General features: G+C 46.1%; 1 protein-coding gene across 4 annotated transcripts in view; it reads right to left on the minus strand.

Moving 5' to 3' along the window:
- DNAAF9 (dynein axonemal assembly factor 9) overlaps positions 1-23711 on the minus strand; it is a 158364-nt gene that overhangs the window by 14345 nt on the left and 120308 nt on the right. For all 4 annotated transcript variants that reach the window (XM_005260684.5, NM_001009984.3, XM_011529208.4 and 1 more), the window contains 4 exons: positions 17991-18116; positions 15262-15299; positions 6777-6912; positions 788-874 (listed from right to left, as the gene is read on the minus strand). In XM_005260684.5, the coding sequence (XP_005260741.1) occupies positions 788-874; positions 6777-6912; positions 15262-15299; positions 17991-18116 (387 nt within the window). The remainder of the gene's footprint in view (positions 1-787; positions 875-6776; positions 6913-15261; positions 15300-17990; positions 18117-23711) is intronic.

Raw genomic sequence — 23711 nt, forward strand, 5'->3', positions numbered from 1 at the left:
CAACACAAACAAAGCTCTCACAACAGCACTGTTCAACAGAGCCTTCTGGGGCAATGGAAATGTTCTAGATCTGCACTGTTGGACACGGTAGCTGCCAGCCACAGGAAGCTATGAAGCACTTGAAATGTGGCTGTGTGGCTGAAAGACTGAATTATAAATTTTGATTTTTATTAATTTACATTTCATTAAATAGCCATGTGGCTAGGAGCTGCCATATAGAGAGTGGAGTCTTTGAACAATAGCTAGCACACACAGTAAATGTTCCAGCGTGTTGGTATTAGTATGATTACAGTAACTTTGCAGCACACTCTCTCCTTTGTCCTCTTCTCCTCTGGAGAGGTCCACAGGCTGTGCAGCATCCTACAGAGAACATTCCCTGGGCCATATGAGCAGGGAACCCAGCAGATGGGAACCCTAGAGGACTGACTGACGGTATTGTCAGAAGCGAGTCTCACCTGGGAAAGTTATAGCTCCTTGGTTCTGTGCCAGGCACTTTGCCCTCAGTAGGGGCTGGAGGAACACAGGGCACAGCGGTGCTTGCTGCCTACAGGATGATTCCCTAAATTGAAACATCTAAGAAGGCTCGCAGTTTGGAGCCCAAGAGGTGGAGCACTGGGCTCCTGGCAAGGCCAGCAGCTGCCGGACAGGCAGGCCGTGCCAGCTGCCATGTGTCACCCTTGCAAAGCACATCTGGTATTTTCACCTTCTCTCTTTTTTTTTTTCTGTAAATAAATAAATCATTGGGTTTACAAAAAAATCTTAGTTATTTTTCAATGATGATACTTGCCAGCCAGGATACATTAAATATCGAGATCGTAGCATCTCAGGACTTGAAAAACTGTTTTCTGAGAGAATCAGCTCAATGTCTTCATTCCTTTGAAAACACACAGAAAAGACCTAGATTAATTAGGACTGTCAATCTCTTTTTTTTTTTTCTTGAGACGGAGTCTCGCTCTGTCGCCAGGCTGGAGTGCAGTGGTGCAATCTTGGCTCATTGCAACCTCCGCTTCCCGGGTTCAAGTGATTCTCCTGCCTCAGCCTCCTGAGTAGCGGGGACTACAGGCATGTGCCATCATACCCAGGTAATTTTTGTACTTTCAGTAGGGACGGGGTTTCACCATGTTGGCCAGGATCGTCTCAATCTCCTGACCTCATGATCCGCCTGCCTCGGCCTCCCAAAGTGTTGGGATTACAGGCATGAGCCACCGAGCCCGGCCAGGACTGACTTTACCTGCACGTTTTGTTTATTCTTCATGTCCCCTAAATACATACAAGCATTTTTGTTTTTTTCTGCCAAACCAAATGAAAATTAGCTGTACTCATCATGATATTTTACCCCTAAATACTTCAGTATGCATCTCCCAAGAACAAGGACATTCTCTTACAGAACTACGATATCATGATCACATCCAAGGAATTTACTGGCTCCCAGCAATCACCTGGGAGCTTGTTAGAAATGCAGAACCTCAGCCCCCAGCCCAGATGTACTGAACCAGAAACTAATTTTCAACAAGATCTCCACTAGAGATGCATATGCACCACAAAGCTGGAGAAGCATGAACATACATCCACTTTCAAATTTCCCCTTTTTGGTGGGGGAGGGTCCACGATCCAATCAAGAATCATTCATTAGGCCGGGCGCGATGGCTCATGTCTGTAATCCCAGCACTTTGGGAGGCCGAGGCAGGCGGATCACCTGGGGTCAGGAGTTCAAGACCAGCCTGGCCAACATGGCGAAACCCCATCTCTACTAAAAAAATACAAAAATTAGCTGGGCGTGGTGGCACGCGCCTGTAGTCCCAGCTACTTAGGAGGCCGAGGCAGGAGAATCACTTGAACCCAGGAGGTGGAGAGGTGGAGGTTGCAGTGAGACGAGATCACGCCACTGCACTCCAGCCTGGGTGACAGAGTGAGACTCTGTCTCAGAAAAAAAAAAAAAAAAAAAAAGACTATGTTCAAAAGTTACTTGAATTAAATACTTTTTTTGGTGTGGTTGTTATTACTTTGATATACAGATACATTCCTTTTTTTTTTTTTTAATTTTGAGACAGAGTTTCGCTCTTGTTGCCCAGGCTGGAGTGAAATGGCGTGATCTCGTCTCACTGCAACCTCCGCCTCCTGAGTTCAAGCGATTCTCCTGCCTCAGCCTCCCAAGTAGCTGGGACTACAGGCACCCACCACCACGCCCTGCTAATTTTTGTATTTTTTAAATAGAGACAGGGTTTCGCCATGTTGGCCAGGCTGATCTTGAACTCCTGACCCCAGGTGATCCGCCTGCCTCAGCCTCCTAAAGCGTTGGGATTACAGGCGTGAGTCACTGCACCCGGCCTAAATTTATCATCTTTATTCTCCTTTAACCTGGAACAGTTCCTCTATCTTTTGGTTGGTTTGATTCTCATGGTGTTGATATTTGAGAGTACATGTCAGAGCTTTTGTGTCCCACACTTGGATTTGTCTGTTTCTAATTCTCATAATTAGATTCAGGTTATGCATATTTTGAGATTAATACCCAGGTGGTGTTGCATCCTTCCCACTGCATCACATCAAGGAGGTACAGGGTATCAGTTTGTCCCATTACTGGTCTCACTGAGTTTAATCGTTTGTTCAACATAGGTATACCAGACCTTTCCATTGTAAGGTATTTTTCCCTCTTTGTAAGGAGTCAGTAGTCTATGGAGTGGTACTTTACACAGTACAGGACTAGTAATATTTTTTTTCTTCAACAGTCTTTCACCTAGTGCTTTTAGCATTCATTGATCGTTCCCTAAATCAAATACTGTATTAGACTGAAGGTTACAAAATGATTATTTTCTAGTTCTTTTGTTTTTGTTTTTTTGAGATGGTTGAGATGGAGTCTTGCTCTGTTGCCCAGGCTGGAGTGCAGTGGCGCGGTCTCGGCCCACTGCAAGCTCCGCCTCCCAGGTTTACGCCATTCTCCTGCCTCAGCCTCCTGAGTAGCTGGGACTACAGGTGCCCGCCACCATGCCCGGCTTATTTTTTGTATTTTTAGTAGAGATGGGGTTTCACCGTGTTGGCCAGGATGGTCTCGATCTCCTGACCTTGTGATCTGCCCGCCTCAGCCTCCCAAAGTGCTGGGATTACTGGCCTGAGCCACCATGCTCGGCTGATTATTTTCTAGTTCTATCAAACCTTATTTACTTGGTATTCTTCTATAAAGGGCTTTGCTATCCTGCCCCCTTCCACCTTTTTTTTTTTTTTGAGATGGAGTTTCGCTCTTGTTGCCTAGGCTAGAGTGCAATGGCGCAATCTCGGCTCACTGCAAGCTCCGCCTCCTGGGTTCAAGCCATTCTCCTGCCTCAGCCTCCTGAGTAACTGGAATCACAGGCATGCACTACCATGCCCGGCTAATTTTATATTTTTAATAGAGATGGGGTTTTGCCATATTGGTCAGGCTGATTTCGAACTCCCGACCTCAGGTGATCTGCCTGCCTCGGCCTCCCAAAGTGCTGGGATTACAGGTGTGAGCCACCGTGCCTGGCCCCACCTTTGTTTTTGAGGATCACTGTGGACACACATTTTATTCCATGTGTTATAATTCATAGTTCCAGTATTATCATGGTTCTTTCTTATCCCCAAATTGTCCCAAATTAGACTAGCAGGAACTTCTTAAGCTACTTCCCATATCCTTTTGACACATCTCCACTAATCTTTGAGTACTTCCTTGCTTTATTGGCATAAAATGGACCAGGCTCACCTTGTACTTTCCTTGACCTAGGCATGCAGTCAGCTAATTCTCCAAGGAGTCCTGGTACCTTGTAGTGGGGACTGGTACTTAGAAACCAAGATACAGAGGTAAGGGTATTTGCTGCAACTGTGGTATTACTATTCTGGTCCCTTTCAAAGGAAAATGGTAGGAAATATACATTTTTAAAAATAATGAATTTATATTGAATCTCCAATTCAAATCAACATTTGATCTTTGGGAGGCCGAGGTGGGTGGATCACTTGAGGCCAGGAGTTCAACACCAGCCTGGCCAACATGGTGAAACCCTGCCACTACTAAAAATAGAAAAATTAGTCTGGTATGGTGGTATGCACTTGTAATCCCAGCTACTAGGGAGGCTGGGGCAAGAGAATCACTTGAATCCAGGAGGTGGAGGTTGCAGTGAGCTGAGATCGTGTCACGGCACTCCAGCCTGGGTGACAGAGCAAGACTCTGTCTAAATAAAATAAAATAAATATTTGAAGGGTTTTTCTTCATCTTCCCCATTTCATATTCATAATCTCCTCTCTTCAATCAGTGATGTTGTTTAGAACCAGGGTTCCAGCAGAGGATTATGTTCAAAAGTTACTTGAATTAAATACTTTTCTTGGTGTGGCTGTTATTACTTTGATATACAGATAGGTTTACTTTTTTTTTTTTTTTTTAATTTTGAGATGGAGTTTCATTCTTGTTGCCCAGGCTGGAGTGCAATGGCATGATCTTGGCTCACTGCAACCTCCGCCTCCCAGGTTCAATCAATTCTCCTGCCTCAGCCTCCTGAGTAGCTGGGATTACAGGTGCCTGGCACCACGCCTGGCCAATTTTTTGTATTTTTAGTAGAGGCGGGGTTTCGCCATGTTGGCCAGGCTGGGCTGGTCTTGAACTCCTGACCTCAGGTGATACGCCCGCCTCGCCCTCCCAAAGTGTTGGGATTACAGGCATGAATCACTGTGCCCGGCCCCTTTTTTTTTTTGAGATGGAGTTTCTCTTTGTCGCCCACCTGGAGTGCAATGGTACGATCTTGGCTCACTGCAACCTCTGCCTCCTGGGTTTAAGCGATTCTCTTGCCTCAGTCTCCTGAGTAGCTGGGATTATAGGCATGCGCCACCATGCCCAGCTAAGTTTTGTATTTTTAGTAGAGACAGGGTTTCACCATGTTGGTAGGGCTGGTCTCGAACTCCTGACTTCGTGATCTGCCTGCCTTGGCCTCCCAAAGTGCTGGGATTACAGGCGTGAGCCACTGCACCCAGCCTAGATTCGCTTTTTTTGGTTTGTATTTAATTTAGTTTTTTCCCTCCTTTATTTAATTTTTGAATACATAAAATATCTACATAGTTCAAAAGTCAAAACTACATTAAAAAGGTATATAACCTTTTATCTGAATTGAGCAAACAAAACAGCTATATAACCAGGTGTTTTCTCCTCGTATATGTGTGTACACAAACAAAATCACTAATTCTCTATTTTTAGTTTGTAATTTGAACCCAAGTCCATGAAGTAAAGAGATAATATCTCTATGTTACTTTTTTTTTTTTTTTTTTTTTTTTGAGACAGAGGCTCTGTTGCCCAGGCTGGCTGGAGTGCAGTGGTGCGGTCTTGGCTCACTGCAAGCTCTGCCTCCCAGGTTCACGCCGTTCTCCTCCCTCAGCCTCCCAAGTAGCTGGGGCTACAGGTGCCTGCCACCACACCTGGCTAATTTCTGTATTTTTTTAAATATAGAGGCGGGGTTCCACCGTGTTAACAAGGATGGTCTCAATCTCCTGACCTTGTGATCCGCCTGCCTTGGCCTCCCAAAGTGTTGGGATTACAGGCGTGAGCCACTGCACCCGGCCACTTTTTTTTTTTTTTTTTAATAGACAAAGTCTCACTACTTCGCTCAGGCTGGAGTGCAATGGTGTGATCATGGCTCAGTATAACCCTAAACTCCTGGGCTCAGGCAATCCTCCTGCCCAGCCTCCTGAGTAGCTGAGACTACAGACATGCACAACCATGCTGGCTGTTTTTTTAAAAAACTGTTTTGGTAGAGACAGAGTGTCACTATTTTACCCAGGCTGGTCTTGAACTCCTGCAAGGAGTTTTGGGCTCCCTAAGTGCTGGGATTACAGGTTGAGCCATCACATCCGACCCTTCTCTACGTTCTCTATGCCATTTCTTTCACACTTTAATACAAGGATGTTAAGAGAATCTTGGCTACCATCCTTCAATGGATGAGAATGTGAATGGATCAAAACAAAATGCCTCAAAATGGTACACGATGGGGTCTTCTTGGTGATTTTTACAGAGCATCTAAAGCACTTCGGCCAGGCGTGGTGCCTCACGCCTGTAATCCCAGCACTTTGGGAGGCCGAGGCAGGCGGAACACAAGGTCAGGAGATTGAGACCATCCTGGCTAACATGGTGAAACCCCGTCTCTACTAAAAATACAAAAACAAAATTAGCCGGGCGTGGTGGCGGGCGCCTGTAGTCCCAGCTACTCAGGAGGCTGAGGCAGGAGAATGGCGTGAACCTGGGAGGCGGAGCTTGCAGTGAGCCGAGATCGCGCCACTGCACTCCAGCCTGGACGACAGAGGGAGACTCCGTCTCAAAAAAAAAAAAAACACTTCAAAAACTGTTTTTTTTCTTTTTCCAATATATTTTTTCTTTTTCGAGATGGAGTATCACTATATTGTCCAGGCTGGTCTCAAACTCCTGACTCAAGATCCTCCCACCTCAGCCACCCAAAATGCTGAGATTACAGGCACGAGCCATTGTGCCCAGCCTGCTTTTTTTTTTTTTTTTTTTAAAGAGATGGGGTCTTGCTCTGTCTCTCAGGCTGTGGAATGCACTGACACAATCATTGCTCACTGCAGCCTCCAATTCCTGGATTCAAGTGATCCTCCCTTCTCAGCCTCCCGAGTAGCTGGGACTATAGGTGCGTGCCACCGCACCTGGCTCAAAAACTGACTTCTCCAAATGTTTAGGTCTTAGATACAGTAGAAAGACTCTGTGGGCCACAGACAGAGTGCTGTATCTGAGAAAGCAACTGGTCTTGCAGAGTGAATCTATAGATTACCTGGTGACAATCCCATTTTCTGCAAGAATGAAGGCTGCAGCAGGATTGGCAGCCCTGATGAGGCTCTGCAGCTGAACAAGGAGAGGGTGCCGCTGCTCCGTGGTGTGACTGGTGAATACCACGTTACTCACCAGGCCTGGGAATAAAACCAAGGACAGTTTAGCCTTCACAGTCCTGGTTAGGGGTGAAGGCTCACACAAACGTGAGCCCTTGCTCCATCCCCTAATCATGCCTTCCAGTAGTCTCCTGATGGAGACAACCCTTACACCCCAATACCAACATAAACAGCTATCATTCTCTTCCCACTTCCCGGCACTGCCACCTCTTGGAATGAATAGCTTCAAGTCTGTAGCTGCCTTACTACCTAACCCCTAACTTCCTCTATCTTTTTTTTTTTTTTTTTTAAGACGGTGTCTCACTCTGTTGCCCAGGCTGGAGTGCAGTGGTGCGATCTCAGCTTACTGCAACCTCAGCCTCCAGGGTTCAAGCAATTCTCCTGCCTCAGCCTCTTGAGTAGCAGGAATTACAGGAACCCGCAACCATGCCTGGCTAATTTTTGTATTTTTAGTAGAGACGGGGTTTCACCATGTTGGCTAGGCTGGTCTTGAACTCCTGACCTCAGGTGATCAGCCCACCTCAGCCTCCCAAAGTGCTGGGATTACAGACATGAGCCATTGCACCCGGCCTCCTCTATTATTTTAATTCTGGTATCTAGCTGATACTTGGAATTCTTAGTCAAAGGGCCTTTTCACACATCCTGTATTTAGCATCATCAGGAACTGGTGCCATTTACCTTCACCAGTTCAGAACAACACAATTATCAAAAACTCACCATATAACAGGGGTTATTCATTATATCCTCAAAGAGTGCACTGCCAAGATACTGTGCACAGGGAGCCACATGATTCCAAGATAAATGCTAACAGATTTTAGTCACGTGGTAAGAAAGGGTGGCCCATGTAAGAAGAGGTTGCAGGGTGGGCCATGATCACTCCCAACCTTTTGGTGAAAATACAGAAGTAAAATTCACAGGACCACAGAGAATTTGGAGATCAGGAAACTTACCACACTTCACCACCCCAAGATAATTATAATACCCCTTCCATATTCATTCCTATTTTAACAGTTATAATCATAGCGCATATATAAGATTATTCATTTTGCATTTTTGTTATTCAATAATTTTTATTTACTTCTTCTTTTTTTTTTTTTGAGACGGAGTTTCACTCTTGTTGTCCAGGTTGGAGTGCAATGTTGCAATCTCAGCTCACTACAGTCTCCACCTCCCATGTTCAAGTAATTCTCCTGCCTCAGCCTCCTAAGTAGCTGGGATTACTGGTGCGCGCCACCATGCCCAGCTTATTTTGTATTTTTAGTAGAGATGGGGTTTCTCCATGTTGGTCAGGCTGGTCTCGAACTCCCGACCTCGTGATCTGCCTGCCTCGGCCTCCCAAAGTGCTGGGATTACAGGTGTGAGCCACCGCACCCAGCTGTACTTCTTAATATCGTAGAAAATTTCAAACATACACAACTAGAAAAATAGTAGAATGAACTCCCATCACCTGGTTTCAGGAACTACCAACACTCAGCTAATCGTATTTCATCTACACTCCACCCAGCTCATCCCCGGCTCCCCTACTGTATGATTTTGAAGTCAATCCCAGATACCCAATTATTTCAAACAAAAATACTTCAACGTGAATTTCCATAATATAAGGACTCTAAACATATTAACAATGAACTCCTTAATATAAAAAAATCCAGTCTGTGTTCAAATTTCTCTGTCTTATAAATGTTTTCTCAGTTAATAATTTTTGAATCAGGAACCAAAGGAAGTCTACATATTATATATATTTATATATTCAGTGGCTCACTGAAGCATTGACCTCCTGGGCTCAAGCAATCCTCCTGCCTCAGCCTCCTGTGTAGCTGGGACCACAGGTGTGCGTGCCACCATGCTTGGCTAATTTTTTTATTTTTTTTAGACACTGGGTCTCATTTTGTTGCCCAGACTGGTCTCAAACTCCTGGGCTCAAGTGATCCTCATGCCTTGGCCTCCTCTAAAGTGCTGGGATTACGGGCGTGAGCCACGGCACCCAGCTTCATTAGGATTTTCAGTTCCTCTAGTGGTCACTTTTATATCTTTAAAGAGTATACTTAACCCTTTATAACTTGATTTAATAGCTTTAAACTTTATCAATCTCCCATTCTGAAAGATGTAAAGAGTATCTCTCCTCTGCCAATTTTTTGTAAAATATAATTTCATAGATAGGCTTTCAACATTTATATTCTATTTTGTAATAGAATTCTCACAGGTGTTATAATTCTATACTTAAAAAAGATTCAATGCTCATCATCAACCCATTTACTAATAGAGAGTAGTTTAATTATTTTTTTATTATTATTATTTCTTGAGATGGAGTTTCGCTCTTGTTGCCCTGGCTGGAGTGCAATGGTGCAATCTCAGCTCACCACAACCTCCGCCTCCTGGGTTCAAGTGATTCCCCTGCCTCAGACTCCCGGCCTCCCGAGTAGCTGGGATTACAGGCATGCACCATCATGCCGGGCTAATTTTATATTTTTTAGCAGAGATGGAGTTTCTCCATGTTGGTCAGGCTGGTCTCGAACTCCTGACCTCAGGTGATCCACCCGCCTCGGCCTCCCAAAGTGCCGTGATTACAGACGTGAGCCATCGCGCCCGGTGAGAGTAGGTTTATAAATGAATAGTTCTTAAGTGAATATCTCTAAATTATGGAGATTTCTGCTTTCCTAAGTGACCTTGTAACTGCAGAATCCTAAGTAATGAATATTCAGTAATGAACACTCTATACTGATACTATTTACTTCAGTCAAGTGTTAAGTTAAAAAAATTAGCTGTATTCAGTTATTGAGGGCGAAACTCAGAACATATAGAAAGTGTGTCAGGCTGTTTTGGGGTTGCTGTAAAGAAATACCTGAGGCTGACTAATTTATAAAGAACCTTTAGCTTAATTGGCTAAAGGTTCTGCAGGCTTTCCAGGAAGCGTGGCGCTGGCATCGGCTTCTGGGGAGGCCTCAGGAAGCTTAAGATCATGGTAGAAGGCCTGGGAGCCAGCATATCACAGTGGTGAGGGCAGGAGCAAGAAGGGGCGGGGGAGGTGCCACACTCCTTTAAACAGCCAGGTCTCCTGTGAACTCAAGAGTAAGAACTCACTCACTATCACAAGGACAGCACCAAGCCATTCATGAGGGATCTGCCCCCATGACCCAAACACCTCCCACTAGGCCCCACTTTCAACACTGGGGATTATGTTTCAACATGAGATTTGGAGGGGACAAACATCTAATTTATATCAGAAGTGTTCACAAAGAAAATAAAATAATTCCTTTCCTGTCCAGACACCTAAATTCCCTGCCCTGGAGGCAACTGCAGTTATCAGATTCTTACCTCTTCTTCCAGAAGATCTGCTGAGTATATACAAAAGTGTTGAGTATAATTTTTTCCACAAGTAGTGACACATTACACTGTTCTGCACCTTTTCCCCCCACTTACTCCCTTTACTTTTTAATTTTGGTAAAGCTTACATCTTCCTTCAAATCTTTCTTAACATTTTATCATCCTAGTCCTCCCCTCATGCCACCCTGCTCTCTCCCCTTCTCTGAACTAAAAAAAAAGAAAAAAAGTTCTTTTGAATAACACAGGTGGCACTTAAAACACAGGACTTATATTCTTTATTTTTATTTTTATTTTTTTTGAGACAGAGTCTCACTGGGTCACCCAGGCTGCAGTGTAGTGGTGTGATCTCGGCTGGTTGCAACCTCCATGTCCCGGGTTCAAGTGATTCTCCTGCCTCATCCTCCTGAGTAGCTGGAATTACAGGCGCACACCACTGCACCCGTCTAATTTTTGTATTTTTAGTAGAGATGGGGTTTCACCATGTTGGCCAGGCTGGTCTTAAACTCCTGACCTCAGGTGATCCACCTGCCTTGGCCTCCCAAAGTGCTGGGAATGCAGGTGTGAGCCACTGCGCCTGGCCTGGACTTAGATTATTTATCTTCTTCCTCTATGGGAAAAGCTACCATAATGTAAAGACTAAGGCATTTAGAGCCAGGTGAACCTGAGTTTGAATTTTGAGTTCCGCTAATTACTAATGGGTGATACTAGACAAATTGCTCTACTTTCTCTCTGAAACCAAATATCCTCCTCTGTAAGATGGGAACCGTAACACATCACTCTAGGTTATCAATAAAACCTAGGCTTATCATAGGGCCTACAGAGAGTAAGAATCCATGAAATACAATCTATCATTTCCACCACTACCACCATCAGCACTGTCAATTGAGCATCAGCCTGAGAATTAGACTTCTCCCTGTACATAGAGGGGCCTGTCAGTGGCTGTGGCATTGGGTCTTGGCCATATCAACCACTGGGAAACTAAGTCATACAATTTCCACAAGCCAAGGCAGCTACACTCGTGGTTTAGATGGGGGGCAAGGAATAGTTTGAAGGCAGATTCCAGGACCCCTGGTCCCCTGCCTCTAGTCTTTGGTACCTGTGTTCGCATGGCCATTTGGAAAGGTCACTCTGCAGTGCACTCTGGAGGCTGCAGATGAGGCAGCAAAGCCAGCCTGGAAAGCTTGATGCCAGAATCCCATGCCCTGGTGCAGCCACAGAAAGTAGGGCCTCTGGAAACTGAGTAAGGCAAAGTCAGGAGGCCAAGTCCAAAATGTGGCACAGTGGGGAGGCAAGCAGGATCTCAGAAGCCTCAGCACATTCTAGAGATGGCAGACATGGAAGCCATATCCTACAAAGGGCCTGCCAGATTCCCAGGGTGGAAGGCAAGAAGAGCTCTGGCGGGTCTGGCAGTGAAGAGCCAGCAAAGGTTGAGGGAAGATCTATAAATACCCTAGGACTCTGTTTGGTATCTTCTTGGGCAAAAGAAACCAAAGTGTCAGACTAGTGCAAATGTGGCCATATGAACGGTGGTGCACCAGGGTCACAAGCACAGGCCTGGCCTGCCCAAGAAAAGGCTGGGATCTGGGTCTCTGACAGACACAACTTGTACAAAGTCCTGTCTGCTGCACATGTACCATATGGACAAAGCTTGTGGGGTTGGGATTCTAGGTCAGGAACTGGGCACAGAAAAGGGGCTTTGCTTTATAGGGAAACAAGCAAGAGGATTATCCCCAGCATTCCTTAGGCCAGCTATGTAAACTGCCACCTGCCAAGAGGAAATGCCATCTGTGAGGCAGGTACAGCAGTTATCTGGAGCACAGGGTGAACAGGCCATAGTGAGCGGTTCCACCTTGTTTGGGCCAGGAGCTTCCTTCTGTTCTGTATCAAGGAGTGGACAGCCAGATTTGGCCAAGGTCTCACCAGTCTGGGCTGTGAGCGAGCAGACAGCCTGGCGTATCCTATTCCCAAGAGCAGAGAAACATCCCTATTGTCTGGCTGACCATCCCAGTCTGGGCTAAAGTATTCCAGAAGCCCAGCAGAAAACAAAGGTGACTTCTTCTATCTACAGATGCTTTTAAAAGCAGGCCATGACAGTAAAGTATCTCCACTTTGCTCTCACACCAGCATTATAATGAGTCTTACTTGCTGTTTAAGCACTGAGATTATTTCTTAGTCCTTTGATTTCTATAATACACATTGTCTTGGGGCTGCAACATAGTCCTTTTCTAACTGGAAAATAATCTCTTATGAATCGGGTAGCCTGACTCATGAACAGGAGCAAAGGGAGGAAATATGCTCCCTTAGGACATGAAGTATTTGTCTACTGCTGGCAGATCCCACCTCCAAGCCAGCTACCAAATCTCCTAGGAGAAAAGAAATACTTGCCTTTTATCTCCTCCCTCCCCAGACAGCCCATGCCCATGGCAAGCCTGGTCAGGCCAGTCCACAGGGTCCCATGGGCCCAGAAGCAAGGCAGTGTCACTCCATGAGCCCCTTGGAGGAGTTCCGAAAACAGCATATGTGGCCTGAAGGTGATCAGCCCACATCTGATCACACCCCTAGCTCTACACAAGCACAGAGTTTAACACACATTGTCTTTGCACAATGAGTTGGAAGGCAGTATAAATGAAACATGCCTACCAAATGCCAGAGAGAACAGTCTGTTTTGGCCTCAAAGGGTTCAGACTAAAAGGGGCTTTTCTCTTGTGAGACAAGCCCAGGGCTGCCCCTGATTCAATGATGAAAACAGAACACTTCCCCAAGGCTCTCTGCCAGGGAAGCCCCACCATCTGTGCTTGTTCCTCATGCAAAAAAGAAGAGGGACACTGAGGGAGAATGCCAAGGAGCTGAGGTGCACTAGGGTGCCAATCATCACACGGTGGACAAGGGGCTCTGAAAGGAAAAGAAGGCTCCAGCATTTACAAGAACAAGGCAGGCCTGAGGCTGGACAGGTCAGCAAGTCCTAGGCACACCATCTGATAGTCAATACTGCCCCCTAGGCAAACACTTCCTCAACTTCACCTGCTTCCAACTAAAGCTCTTCTCAAGGACACTGCTTCTCTGAGTCAATCTTCACTTGGGCTCTGGACCCTACCCCTTCCTTCTCAGGGGTCCCCTCTATCAAACCTAGTATCTCCTTGCAGCCCACAGGCTTTCTCAGCAGCAAATAAGGAGGAACTGATCATTAAGAAATGACAATTCTTGGAAGTATTCTCTAGCCATCTTCCTTTTTACAGCCCCAAGCACTCTAGAATATCATCTGCACCTGCTGGCTTCCAGTATCTCACTTGACCACTGGCCCACTTGGAGCTGGCTTCAGCCCTCACCTCTCCACTCAGATCCTCCTACTCAGGTCATCAGGGTCCTTCTCACTTACAGAGCCAGTGGGCTTTTCTCTGTTCTTCCCTCAAGGTCTCTGCAGCATTAGACATCGTGGATCTCTTTTTCTCCTTCCTCAATGTCTCAGGCAACACTCTTCCCTGCTTCTCTTTCGGTGTCCTGGAACCTCCACCCTCACCCCATCTCTAGCCTTCTGATCTTTTCAACTCTATATCTGGATACTGGCTGACTACAGTCCATGCCATTAACTTTGACCATGACTTCCAAATACGTATCTTAGGATGAGACAGCCCTCCTTGGTTATCTCCTGGACCTATGTTTTCTCCTGTGCTTTCTATTTGAAGGACAGGTACCACCAACCTTCCTAATCTCCTAAGCTAGAAACCTAGGAGTCATCCTAGATACCTCTTTTTCCAACACATGCCCCACATCTAGTCTGTCACCAGATCCTATTGACCCAACCTCCACAAAATCTCCTTAATCTACCTGGGGTGGATACTGTGGATGGACCTACCCAATCTCCATTTCATCCTGTTTCTGAGGTGCAGTGCCTAGAAAGTAACAGGGACCTCTGAAAGCTGGACCTGAGACTACCTGGTACAGCAGCCCAACATACACATTCCTCCCTCCAGGGACCAGCCTCCTGCCCTGGGCAGCATGAGCTCAGCTGTTTCCCAAGACAACAACTCTGGTATGCTCTGTTGTCTCCGCTCCCTGCGGACTGGCAATACGATCAGCAGGATGAAACTGTGCTGGGGACACTGAGTTGTTTTCTTCCATCTGATTTCTGCTTGCTGGACTAGCTCAGGAAGCCCAGACCCCAGGCATGTCTCCTGATAACAATGAGCATTTCATCACCACTGCAGGGAATTCAGAATTTATTCTGGACCTCCAAACATCACAGATAATATGACTAGAAAGTGCTGCTTCCAGGGTTGTCAGGTAGTAGGGCACTGCAAGGTTGAATGCAACCTGCAGGATGGGTGAATTTTTCTCAATGTTATCAAGGAAATGCGGAAAATTCCAGGGTGCATAGGGGTGGGAGGTATTAAGAAAGACAGGTCCCGCTGGGCCAAACTCAGCACTCTTGGGGCAGAAGTGAATCAAGATCTTGCTGATCCAGAGGCTAGGAATACCTACTCAGTCCACTAGTATTAGCTGGAATGCCAGGTGGACTTAAGCCCAGCTCAAGGAGAGGTATTACTGTGGCAATTTGTTGCCATAAGAGACAAGCTCAGGCCAGGCGCCGTGGCTCATGCCTGTAATCCCAGCACTTTGGGAGGCCGAGGTGGGCGGACTACGAGGTCAGGAGTTCAAGACCAGCCTGGCCAACATGGTGAAACCCCATCTCTACTAAAAATACAAAAATTAGCTGGGTGTGGTGGTACATGCTTGTAATCCCAGCTACTTGGGAGGCTGAGGTAGGAGAATCAGTTGAACCTGGGAGGCAGAGGTTGCAGTGAGCCGAGACCACGCTATTGCACTCCAATCTGGGCGACAGAGTAAGACTCCGTCTCAAAAAAAAGAGACAAGCTCTTGGAAGAAATGTGCCTATCAAATATGGTAAAAGTAAAGGTGTCAAAGTTTTTTCTGACCAATTTTGTTTGCTTTAGATTTCAGAATGGTAGGTAAGAGCACGAAGAAAAGTCTATTGCTGAATTCTACTGAACTTGCAAGGCATGCAGGCTGAAAATAAAGTATATTACTTACCTTGTGAACACTGGTCAAGACATTTAGGAAAGAGAAATCTAGGGGGAAAAAAGGGGGAAATATTTAAAAACCATTCACCTCAGAGTTGTCACTGATTATTTCCCATACAAATAGGAGTACCACTGACAAGCAAATTGACTCACATGATGAGGCAGGTGGCAGCAGCACTGAGCACTAAGGATAGCCATGGGACTTTACAGCTTTCCGTCAAAGCTCCCCACACCAGGAGCCCCACAGAAGTCCCTACATGGCCAATTCTAAGTGGAATGCTGAAGGAGGGATACTGGGGACAGGACCAGCTCTTTGGTCTATGGGAGATGGAGAAAGAGCTGGTCTTTTTTGAAAGACATATGTTTTTGAGTAAAGTGGATATTTCAAGGGAAAATAAGAATTACACTCATCTAACTCTACCAGGGGCCTTTAATACCAAAGCTGCCATGCTTCTCTTTATGTACATGCTATAACCTCAATTCTCCTTTAATCTCATTCTTAACTCAAAAGGTGAATGAAAAGCAGGAAACTGACCATCTGAATTACAAGTGAAGCAAGAGGTGGGGGTGACTGATCCAAAGTGTGAGTTACTTAACAACTGTAGCACTGCAGTAGGCTCCAGAGAAAAACTCATATTCTCACAGGACTTCAGAACTCCTAAAACATCATAAGGCCTGTCTCAAGGAAGAAAGCTAACACTAATGGGGATAGCTGCCTTTTATGGAGTTCCTCCTGTGGGCAAGGCACTGTGCAGGCAGTTCACAAACATGATCTTGCTCTGTCGTCCTGTCTGCTCTGTGCCTCAGGTATCTAACAGATGAAAGGCATGGGTTTAGGACGGCTAAACACACTAAGCTTGCCCAGTGTCTCACAGGCAGCTGGGAGGCAGCAGGGCTAAGGCAGGGACCCAGGTCTGTTTGGCACCACAGAGGTCCTGTGTTTTCTTCCCTGGCAATTGGGATGCTAGCTGAAGCCACTCTTCTGAATGGCTGCTGGTCTAGCTGGCAGTTATTAATGATGTTCGCAACACTGGGGGAGTTTCTCTCCTGGAATTTCCTTGGTGGCAGCAAATCTTCATCCTTTTATTTGATTTCTGACAACAGCCAGTCACACATCATTTGAAACCAAATTTGGTAGATGAGCTGGGTGAATACCAGGTTGGGCTGTGAATCCTGTTCCCTTACCTGACTCCCTCATAGTTTCTGAAGAATTCCAAGGAGGAAAACCCATGTGCTATAAGCAGGGTCAAAGGGGCTGGAACAAGGGAAGATACAGCCACACCAGAGTCTCCCAAGAATAGAACTCACTGACTTCACTGTGCTCACAGTCCACAGAAGGCTGCCACACAGTAAGCATTCTTTTACTTACTTTAAAGTTTTACTTAAAAAAATTTAAACAGCCTGTAATCCCAGCACTTTTGGAGGCTGAGATGGGCAGATCACCTGACGTTGGAAGTTCGAGACCAGCCTGACCAACACAGAGAAACCCCGTCTCTACTAAAAATACAAAAAAATTAGCCGGGCATGGTGGTGCATGCCTGTAATCCCAGCTACTCGGGAGGCTGAGGCAAGAAAATCGCTTGAACCTGGGAGGCGGAGGTTGCAGTGAGCTGGGATCATGCCACTGCACTCCAACCTGGGCAACAAGAGCAAAACTCCATCTCAAAGAAAAAAAAAAAAATTTAAACAATGGAGCAACTGTTCAGTTGGTGAAGGAAGTCAACTCCTTTTTTTGAGATAGCGTCTCACTGTTGCCCAGGTTGGAGTGCAGTAGCATGAACACAGCTCACTGCAGCCTCAACCTCTTGGGCTCAAGCAATCCTCCAGCCTCAGCCTCCCAAGTAGCTGGGACTACAGGTGCTCACTACCACACCTGGTTAATTTATTTTTTTGGCAGAGACAGGGTCTCACTATGCTACCCAGGCTGCTCTTGAACTCCGGGGCTCAAGCATCCTCCAACCTTCCATCTTCCAAGTGTGCTGAGATTACAGGCATGAGCCACTGTGCCCTGCCTGATTTTGTTACTTAAATTCTTATATTCCATAATCATGTTCACCCAATTTTAGCCTTATTTCTATATTTAAATAGATTATATACTCAACTTCAGTCCTTTTACGCCTTATTAAAAAAATTTTTTTTTTGAGACAGAGTCTTGCTTGCTCTGTCACCCAGGCTGGGGTGCAGTGGCACGATCGCAGCTCACTGCAACCTCCACCTCCCGGGTTCAAGCGATTTTCGTGCCTCAGCCTCCTGAGTAGCTGGGATTACAAGTGTGCACCACCACTCCTGGTTAATTTTTGTATTTTTAGTAGAAATGGGATTTTGTCATGTTGGCCAGGCTGGTCTCGAACTCCTGTCCTCAAGTGATCTGCCTGCCTTGGCCTCCCAAAGTGCTGGGATTACAGGCATGAGCCACCGCACCTGGCCTTAAATTATTTTTTAACAATATTTAGTACACACATGTTGGAGCACCCATTTATTTAGCAGGTATTTCATAAGTCCTTACTATGTACTATTAAACAGAAATAGTTCTCCCTCACAAAAGCTAAGCTTGTCTTCCATAATTCCTCTCTCTTCTTTGGCTATAAGTCCAAAGGGGTCTATTGAGGACCTAGCACTAATAAAAGAACAGCATTTACTACATACAAGGTGACTAATGCATTCCAAAAGATCTGTCTTCTTCTGGTGGGTGGAAACAAATCACTTTCAGTACACTTACACACCATATCCTGTATCTACCTGTGCTCCATGTAGCAGCTCATGGGCTCCACACATGCTGTGATGGCACCAATGGTGAAGGAGGCCTTGACATTTGAGTCTGGGTGGGTCTGCAGGGCCTGGACAACATCAATAACATCTGTGTAGCTGGGGAAGGTAAAAAAGGAATGATTAGTTCACTGACTGGCATTGCAAAGTGGAGGAAGAGGGGAATCCCGAATGGCTGATTGAACAAGGATGGAAAGAAAACCAAAAGGAAGAGCCCGCAATCTGGTCCCTTGGTGTCACTCCACTTCATGACATGCAGCCCCTGGAAGCTACAGTGTTTCTACATTCCCAAGTTCCATTAGTCCTCATAACTGGGCAAGAGTGAGGGAAGAACCACCCTGCTCTGGAGGTAAAAGGAAGCCTGCAGGCGATCCTGGAGCTCTGAGGGTGGGACCTAGTGTCCTTAGGCCTGTTTTCTAATCAAGTTAGGAGCTCCTGCCACTTGCTTATTTTCTTTAGTAGCTCCTTTCTCTCCTTCCCACTTCTCAGAACACACAGGCAAGAGAGTGCGTCCGGACCCATCCAGGTCAGCAGACTCATCCATGTCAAATACAGCTCACATTGGTATCTCCTGCCTGGAACTCTCTCCAAACTCCAAACTCCTTGTCCTTTTCAGCAGATGGACTCTACTCTTTCAGATGCTAGGCTCAAATATATTTTTTTTGGTCTCCTTTGACTCCATTTTTTTCTGTCTTCAAAATATAACTAGAAGAGATCACTGCTTACACCCCCAAGCTCCCACTGGGTCCAAACTGTTATAATCTCTTGCTTAGATCACCCCAACAGCCTCCCAGCTGTCACTGCTTCTGTCCTTGCCTCTCTCTGATCTGTTTTCAACACAGATGCCAGAGAGATATGCTAAACCCAGAGTCAGATCATGTCATTTCTCTGCTCAAAACCCGCTGGTGGCTTCCATCTCACTCTGTGTGAAAGCCAAAGCCCTTACAATGTCCCAGGCAGCCCTCTATGATCTGACCCCCTATGGAGCAGCAAAGAATTTCATCTACTATCACTTCCCTTGCCCTAATCCAGCTACTTTGGTCTCCTGGCTCTTTTCTGAACATGCCAGGCATACTTCTACCTCTGCATTCTTTGCCCCCCTGCCTGGAATGTTCTTTTCCTCAGGTATCTGCATGGGTGGTTCTCTCTCCCTTCAGGTCTCTGCTCAGGCGGCATCTTACGGACAGGCATCCTCTGACTTCATACACCCTGTGTGATCAAGCAACCCTCGCTTCTTGGCATTCCCTACCTCCTCCTCCAAGTTTCTTCAAAGCCCCAATCGGCAGCTATTTATACCCTATTTTCTCATTTATTTGTTTACTGTCTCCATAATAAGAATGTCAGGTGGTTGTTGAGTACTGTAATCTCTGCTGCCTAAAGCAGGGTAGGTGAATAAACTGGATGTTCAACCCTGAGCAGGCCCCTGGCCACTTCAAGAGGGGACCTAGCCTCTTCACCTTGTAGAGGAGAACTCTTTCCTGATTGATCCGGCCTATCACCAAAAGGTTTGTTCCTATGGAAATAAGTCAAACCTAACAGGCAGCTTTTCTGATCAGATGGGCCTGGTTTAGCCTGAGCCCTTTGGAAGCCAGTGGTGGTGGTATGGACAGGTACAGCCTGCTTGAGTTGTTCTTGAGTTCCTACGAACAACTCATCTGTAAAAAGGCCCTTGGCTTTATCCCCAGACTGCAATACTCCACCCCACCCCAGGTTCTCCTGAGTCCTGATCAGCTGGCAGTGCTTCAGTAGAGAACGGGGTTTACTAGGTTCTAAGAGTTCCCCCAGGGGGGCCTGACAGCCCTCTGCTCACAGCCTTCTCTTCTTCAGGGATTCTCCCCCTGCCTGGGCATGTATGTATGACCACACGCGGCTCTTTCCACTGAGTGCCTGGCTGGGCCTGGATGCCAGGAGAGTCCCACCCACAACACGCACTGCCAGGCCCATAGAGAAGCACGCCTGGTAAGCAGGGCTGGCGTGTGCATGCTGTTCTGCATCCCTCTGTGGTGGTGTTTAATGGAGTTAATGGATTTAACTCTTACAGTTAATGTGAAACATGTGCTCACTCAGATTGTAGGCTTAAATTGCAAACATAAAACAGCCTACAGGAGACTTCAGTGTAAGCAGTAGAGACTCATTTCTTAGGGGAGCAAAGGACAACGGAAAAGGATTCACAAGTCATGCTTGAGGAGTCATTTTAATATAACAGGATTTCCCTTAGAGAGAGTGCCTGGGGAATTTCTAGGTTTTCAGAGCATTTCATTAATTTCCATTGACTTTAATGGAAAAAGGTTAGAGTAAAAAACAGGCCCCTGTCTCCTTGATGAGGCCTATACATCTGGGCACTGCCTCAAGAGAGAAGGCCCCAGGCCATTCACTCTATCCATTAGGGGAATCCCTGTTAGAACCTCCCTCCCTCCCCAGCCCCATAATCATCCTGGGTGAGGCCTCCAGACAGAAAGAGCACCCCCTACCCAGAAGGAAGCACCACGCTCAAGTTACTAGAGTCTTTTTTTTTTTTTTTTTTTTTTTTTGAGACAGAGTCTTGCTCTGTTGCCCAGGCTGGAGTGCAGTGGCAGGGTCACAGCTCACAGTAAACTCTGCCTCCCAGGCTCAAGCGATCCTCCTGCCTCAGCCTCCTGAGTAGCTGTGACCACAGGTGTGCACCACCACACCCAGCTAATTTTTTGTATTTTTGGTAGAGACAGGGTTTCCTCATGTTGCTCAGGCTGCTCTCAAACTCCTGAGCTCAAGTGATTCACCCACCTTGGCCTCCCAAAGTGCTGGGATTACATGTGTGAGCCATGGTGGCCAGGCTACAGCTTGTACCGGACCACTCTGGCTAAACTGACCCAACTGTATGACGAAGGCAAAAAACTGTCTCTTCACGTTTGCTTTCTGTCAGTATTTTCTTTATTAAAAATAAAAACTAAACAAAAACCCAGCAGGACCTTAACTTTCTTTTCTCTGAAACAACAGATAATCTATTCAAGTCTCCTTTGGGCTCAGTTTTATGTTTGCAATTTAAGCCTACAATCTGAGTGTGCACAAGTTTTTACATTAATTTCAAATTTTGTTTTTAATGCAGATAATTTTAAAGAATGATTTTATAATATTCCAGAGTATAAATACAGCCCCTCAAATTCTCTAAAATTAATTTTTTAAAATTCAGATTTTTCCAGTTTTACTTATATTTGTGTGTGTGTATGTGTGTGTGTGTGTATTAAGTTCTATTCAATTTTACCACCTGTGTAGGTTCTTATATCCATCACCATGGTCAGGATACTAAACAGTTCCAACACACAAGGATCCCTTGTGTTGCCCTTTTATAAACATGCCCACCTCCCTCCTGCCCTCCACTCCCATTCTGACCTCTGTCAATCACTAATCTGTCCTCCATTTCTAAAACTTTGTCATTTTAAAATACATAAATTCAATTTTTAAAACAACAACTAACAGCTCCACTTGATGTCAAAGTTCAATTCTATTGCCCCACCGCTTCACTAAATTGAGTGGCATCAGGCCACTCTAGGGGCTAAAGAAATCTCTGTCCTATATTACATGTTTCCCCAAAGAATGCTATAAATGAAAATAAAGCCAAGCCAGGCATGGTGGCTCACACCCATACTCCCACCACTTTGGGAGGCTGAGGTGGGAAGATTGGTTAAGCTCAGGAGTTCGAGACCAGCCTGGGCAACATAGGGAGACCCATCTCTAAAAACAAAGGCCAGGAACTGGGCGCGGTGGCTCACACCTGTAATCCCAGCACTCTGGGAGGCCAAGGCAGGCGGATCACTTGAGGTCAGGAGTTCAAGACCAGCCTAACCAAGATGGTGAAACCCCATTTCTACTAAAAATACAAAAATTAGCCAGGCGTGGTGGTGAGCACCTGTAATCCCAGCTACTTGGGAGGCTGAGGCACGAGAATTGCTTGAACCCAGGAGGCGGAGGTTGCAGTGAGCCGAGATTGCACCATTGCACTCCAGCCTGGACGACAGAGTGAGACTCTGTCTCATTAAAAAAAAAAAAAAGGGCCAGGAGCGGTGGCTCATGCCTGTAATTGCAGCACTTTGGGAGGCTGAGGTGGGCGGATCACCTGAGGTCAGGAGTTCGAGACCAGTCTGGCCAACATAGTGAAATCTGATCTCTACTAAAAAATACAAAAATTACTCGGGTGTGGTGGCGTGTGCCTGCAATCCCAGCTACTTGGGAGGCTGAAGTGGGAGTATTGCTTGAACTCGGGAGGTGGAGGTTGCAGTGAGCTGAGATTGCACCACTGCACTCCAGCCTGGGCAACAGAGCAAGACTCCGTTTCAAAAAAAAAAAAGAAAAAGAAAAAAAGAAAATAAAGCCATATTCAAGGAATACAATTCTTAATATGAGAAGCATCTGGGATCTCCCATCACCAACAACCTAAATAATGGGCATGAAGGCCCAGCCCCAAGATGATGGACATGCTATAAAGGAGGGTGCTACATGGGCCCAGCTGGTAAGAACAGCGTCTTAGTGAAGAGCCACAGCATTTAGCTAGTATTCTGACTGGAGTCCTCCAGGAAATTGACTAGAGGTCCCCATATCCTGGGGCTGTGATGGGACAAAGGCTGGGTTTACAGTATAAGAGTGGTCTGGTCACACTGTCACTGTAGTCCAGAAGCAGCTAGAAAAGCTGACACTTTTGCAGAATTGTAAAGTCAGAGACAAAAAATCAGTGATGCTCTCCGAAGTGATGGAAGATGGAAATGACCTCAACTGCACATTGTCAAGCTGCTGAATTCACCTCCAGGTCCACACCCTCGGTGACTCTCAACTGGTGGGGGCAGGCAGTAAAGGAGGTGGGCCAACCCATTCCTTTGACCAGTAGAAACAATGAAAAACCAGAAGAAAACAAGTGGTTTCAAGCCCAGACTCTTCCTCTGGTTTCTAGGACCTTGCCCACAAGCAGGACAAAAGGGCTGACAGAAGGTAAGCTGGAGGCAAGGTATGAGAACAAGGCTCGAAAGGGAAAGATGGCCTGCTAGGGTACACCGTCCCACCTGCCTCCTTCCTCAGTACCACTCTCCCAGCTTTGCTCCAATTCCCATCATCACAGCCAGGACACCAAAGGGGCTTTGGATTGGGACCCATTCTTTACTGGAAACAACTAGCCAATTGCAAACACTAACATAGCACAAAAGCACTTTGTAAGAACTACCAAAAGCTTCTTTATTACCACCAACCATAACAACATTAGTGAAAAGCATGGCTCCTGTTTTCCTGACTGCGCATTCCCCTCTGAGCCTGGAGTGGTGATGGGTCTGTGAGGGGCTCCTCCCTGAAAGGCCTTAGAACAGGTCAAAAGAAACTCCTTTCAGCCAGGGTCCCCTGGAGCAGTGGTACAAGCTCTGTCAAACCTGCCCTCCCGTGTTGCACACTCAAAATAATCATGCTTACAGAGACTTCATGAGCTAGTCAGCCTATAATCATAGTTCTGCACACAGCCATGAAAGGGGAGCTTCTTACCCAATATGAATATTCCCACTCCTCACTGAAGGTCCCAGGAAACTCTCCTGGGCCACAATCCAGGGCATGGTGAAGCTGGAGACTGCAGAGTATGAGGGTCATCTCTGCAATTCCACAAGAGGGAGGACTGAAACAGATGAAGCTCCCTTATTTAGATGATGAATGAAGACTTAGGGACCACTACTGCTGCAAAAATTC

Source organism: Homo sapiens, chromosome 20 (assembly GCF_000001405.40).
Source record: "Homo sapiens chromosome 20, GRCh38.p14 Primary Assembly".
Classification (NCBI taxonomy): domain Eukaryota; kingdom Metazoa; phylum Chordata; class Mammalia; order Primates; family Hominidae; genus Homo; species Homo sapiens.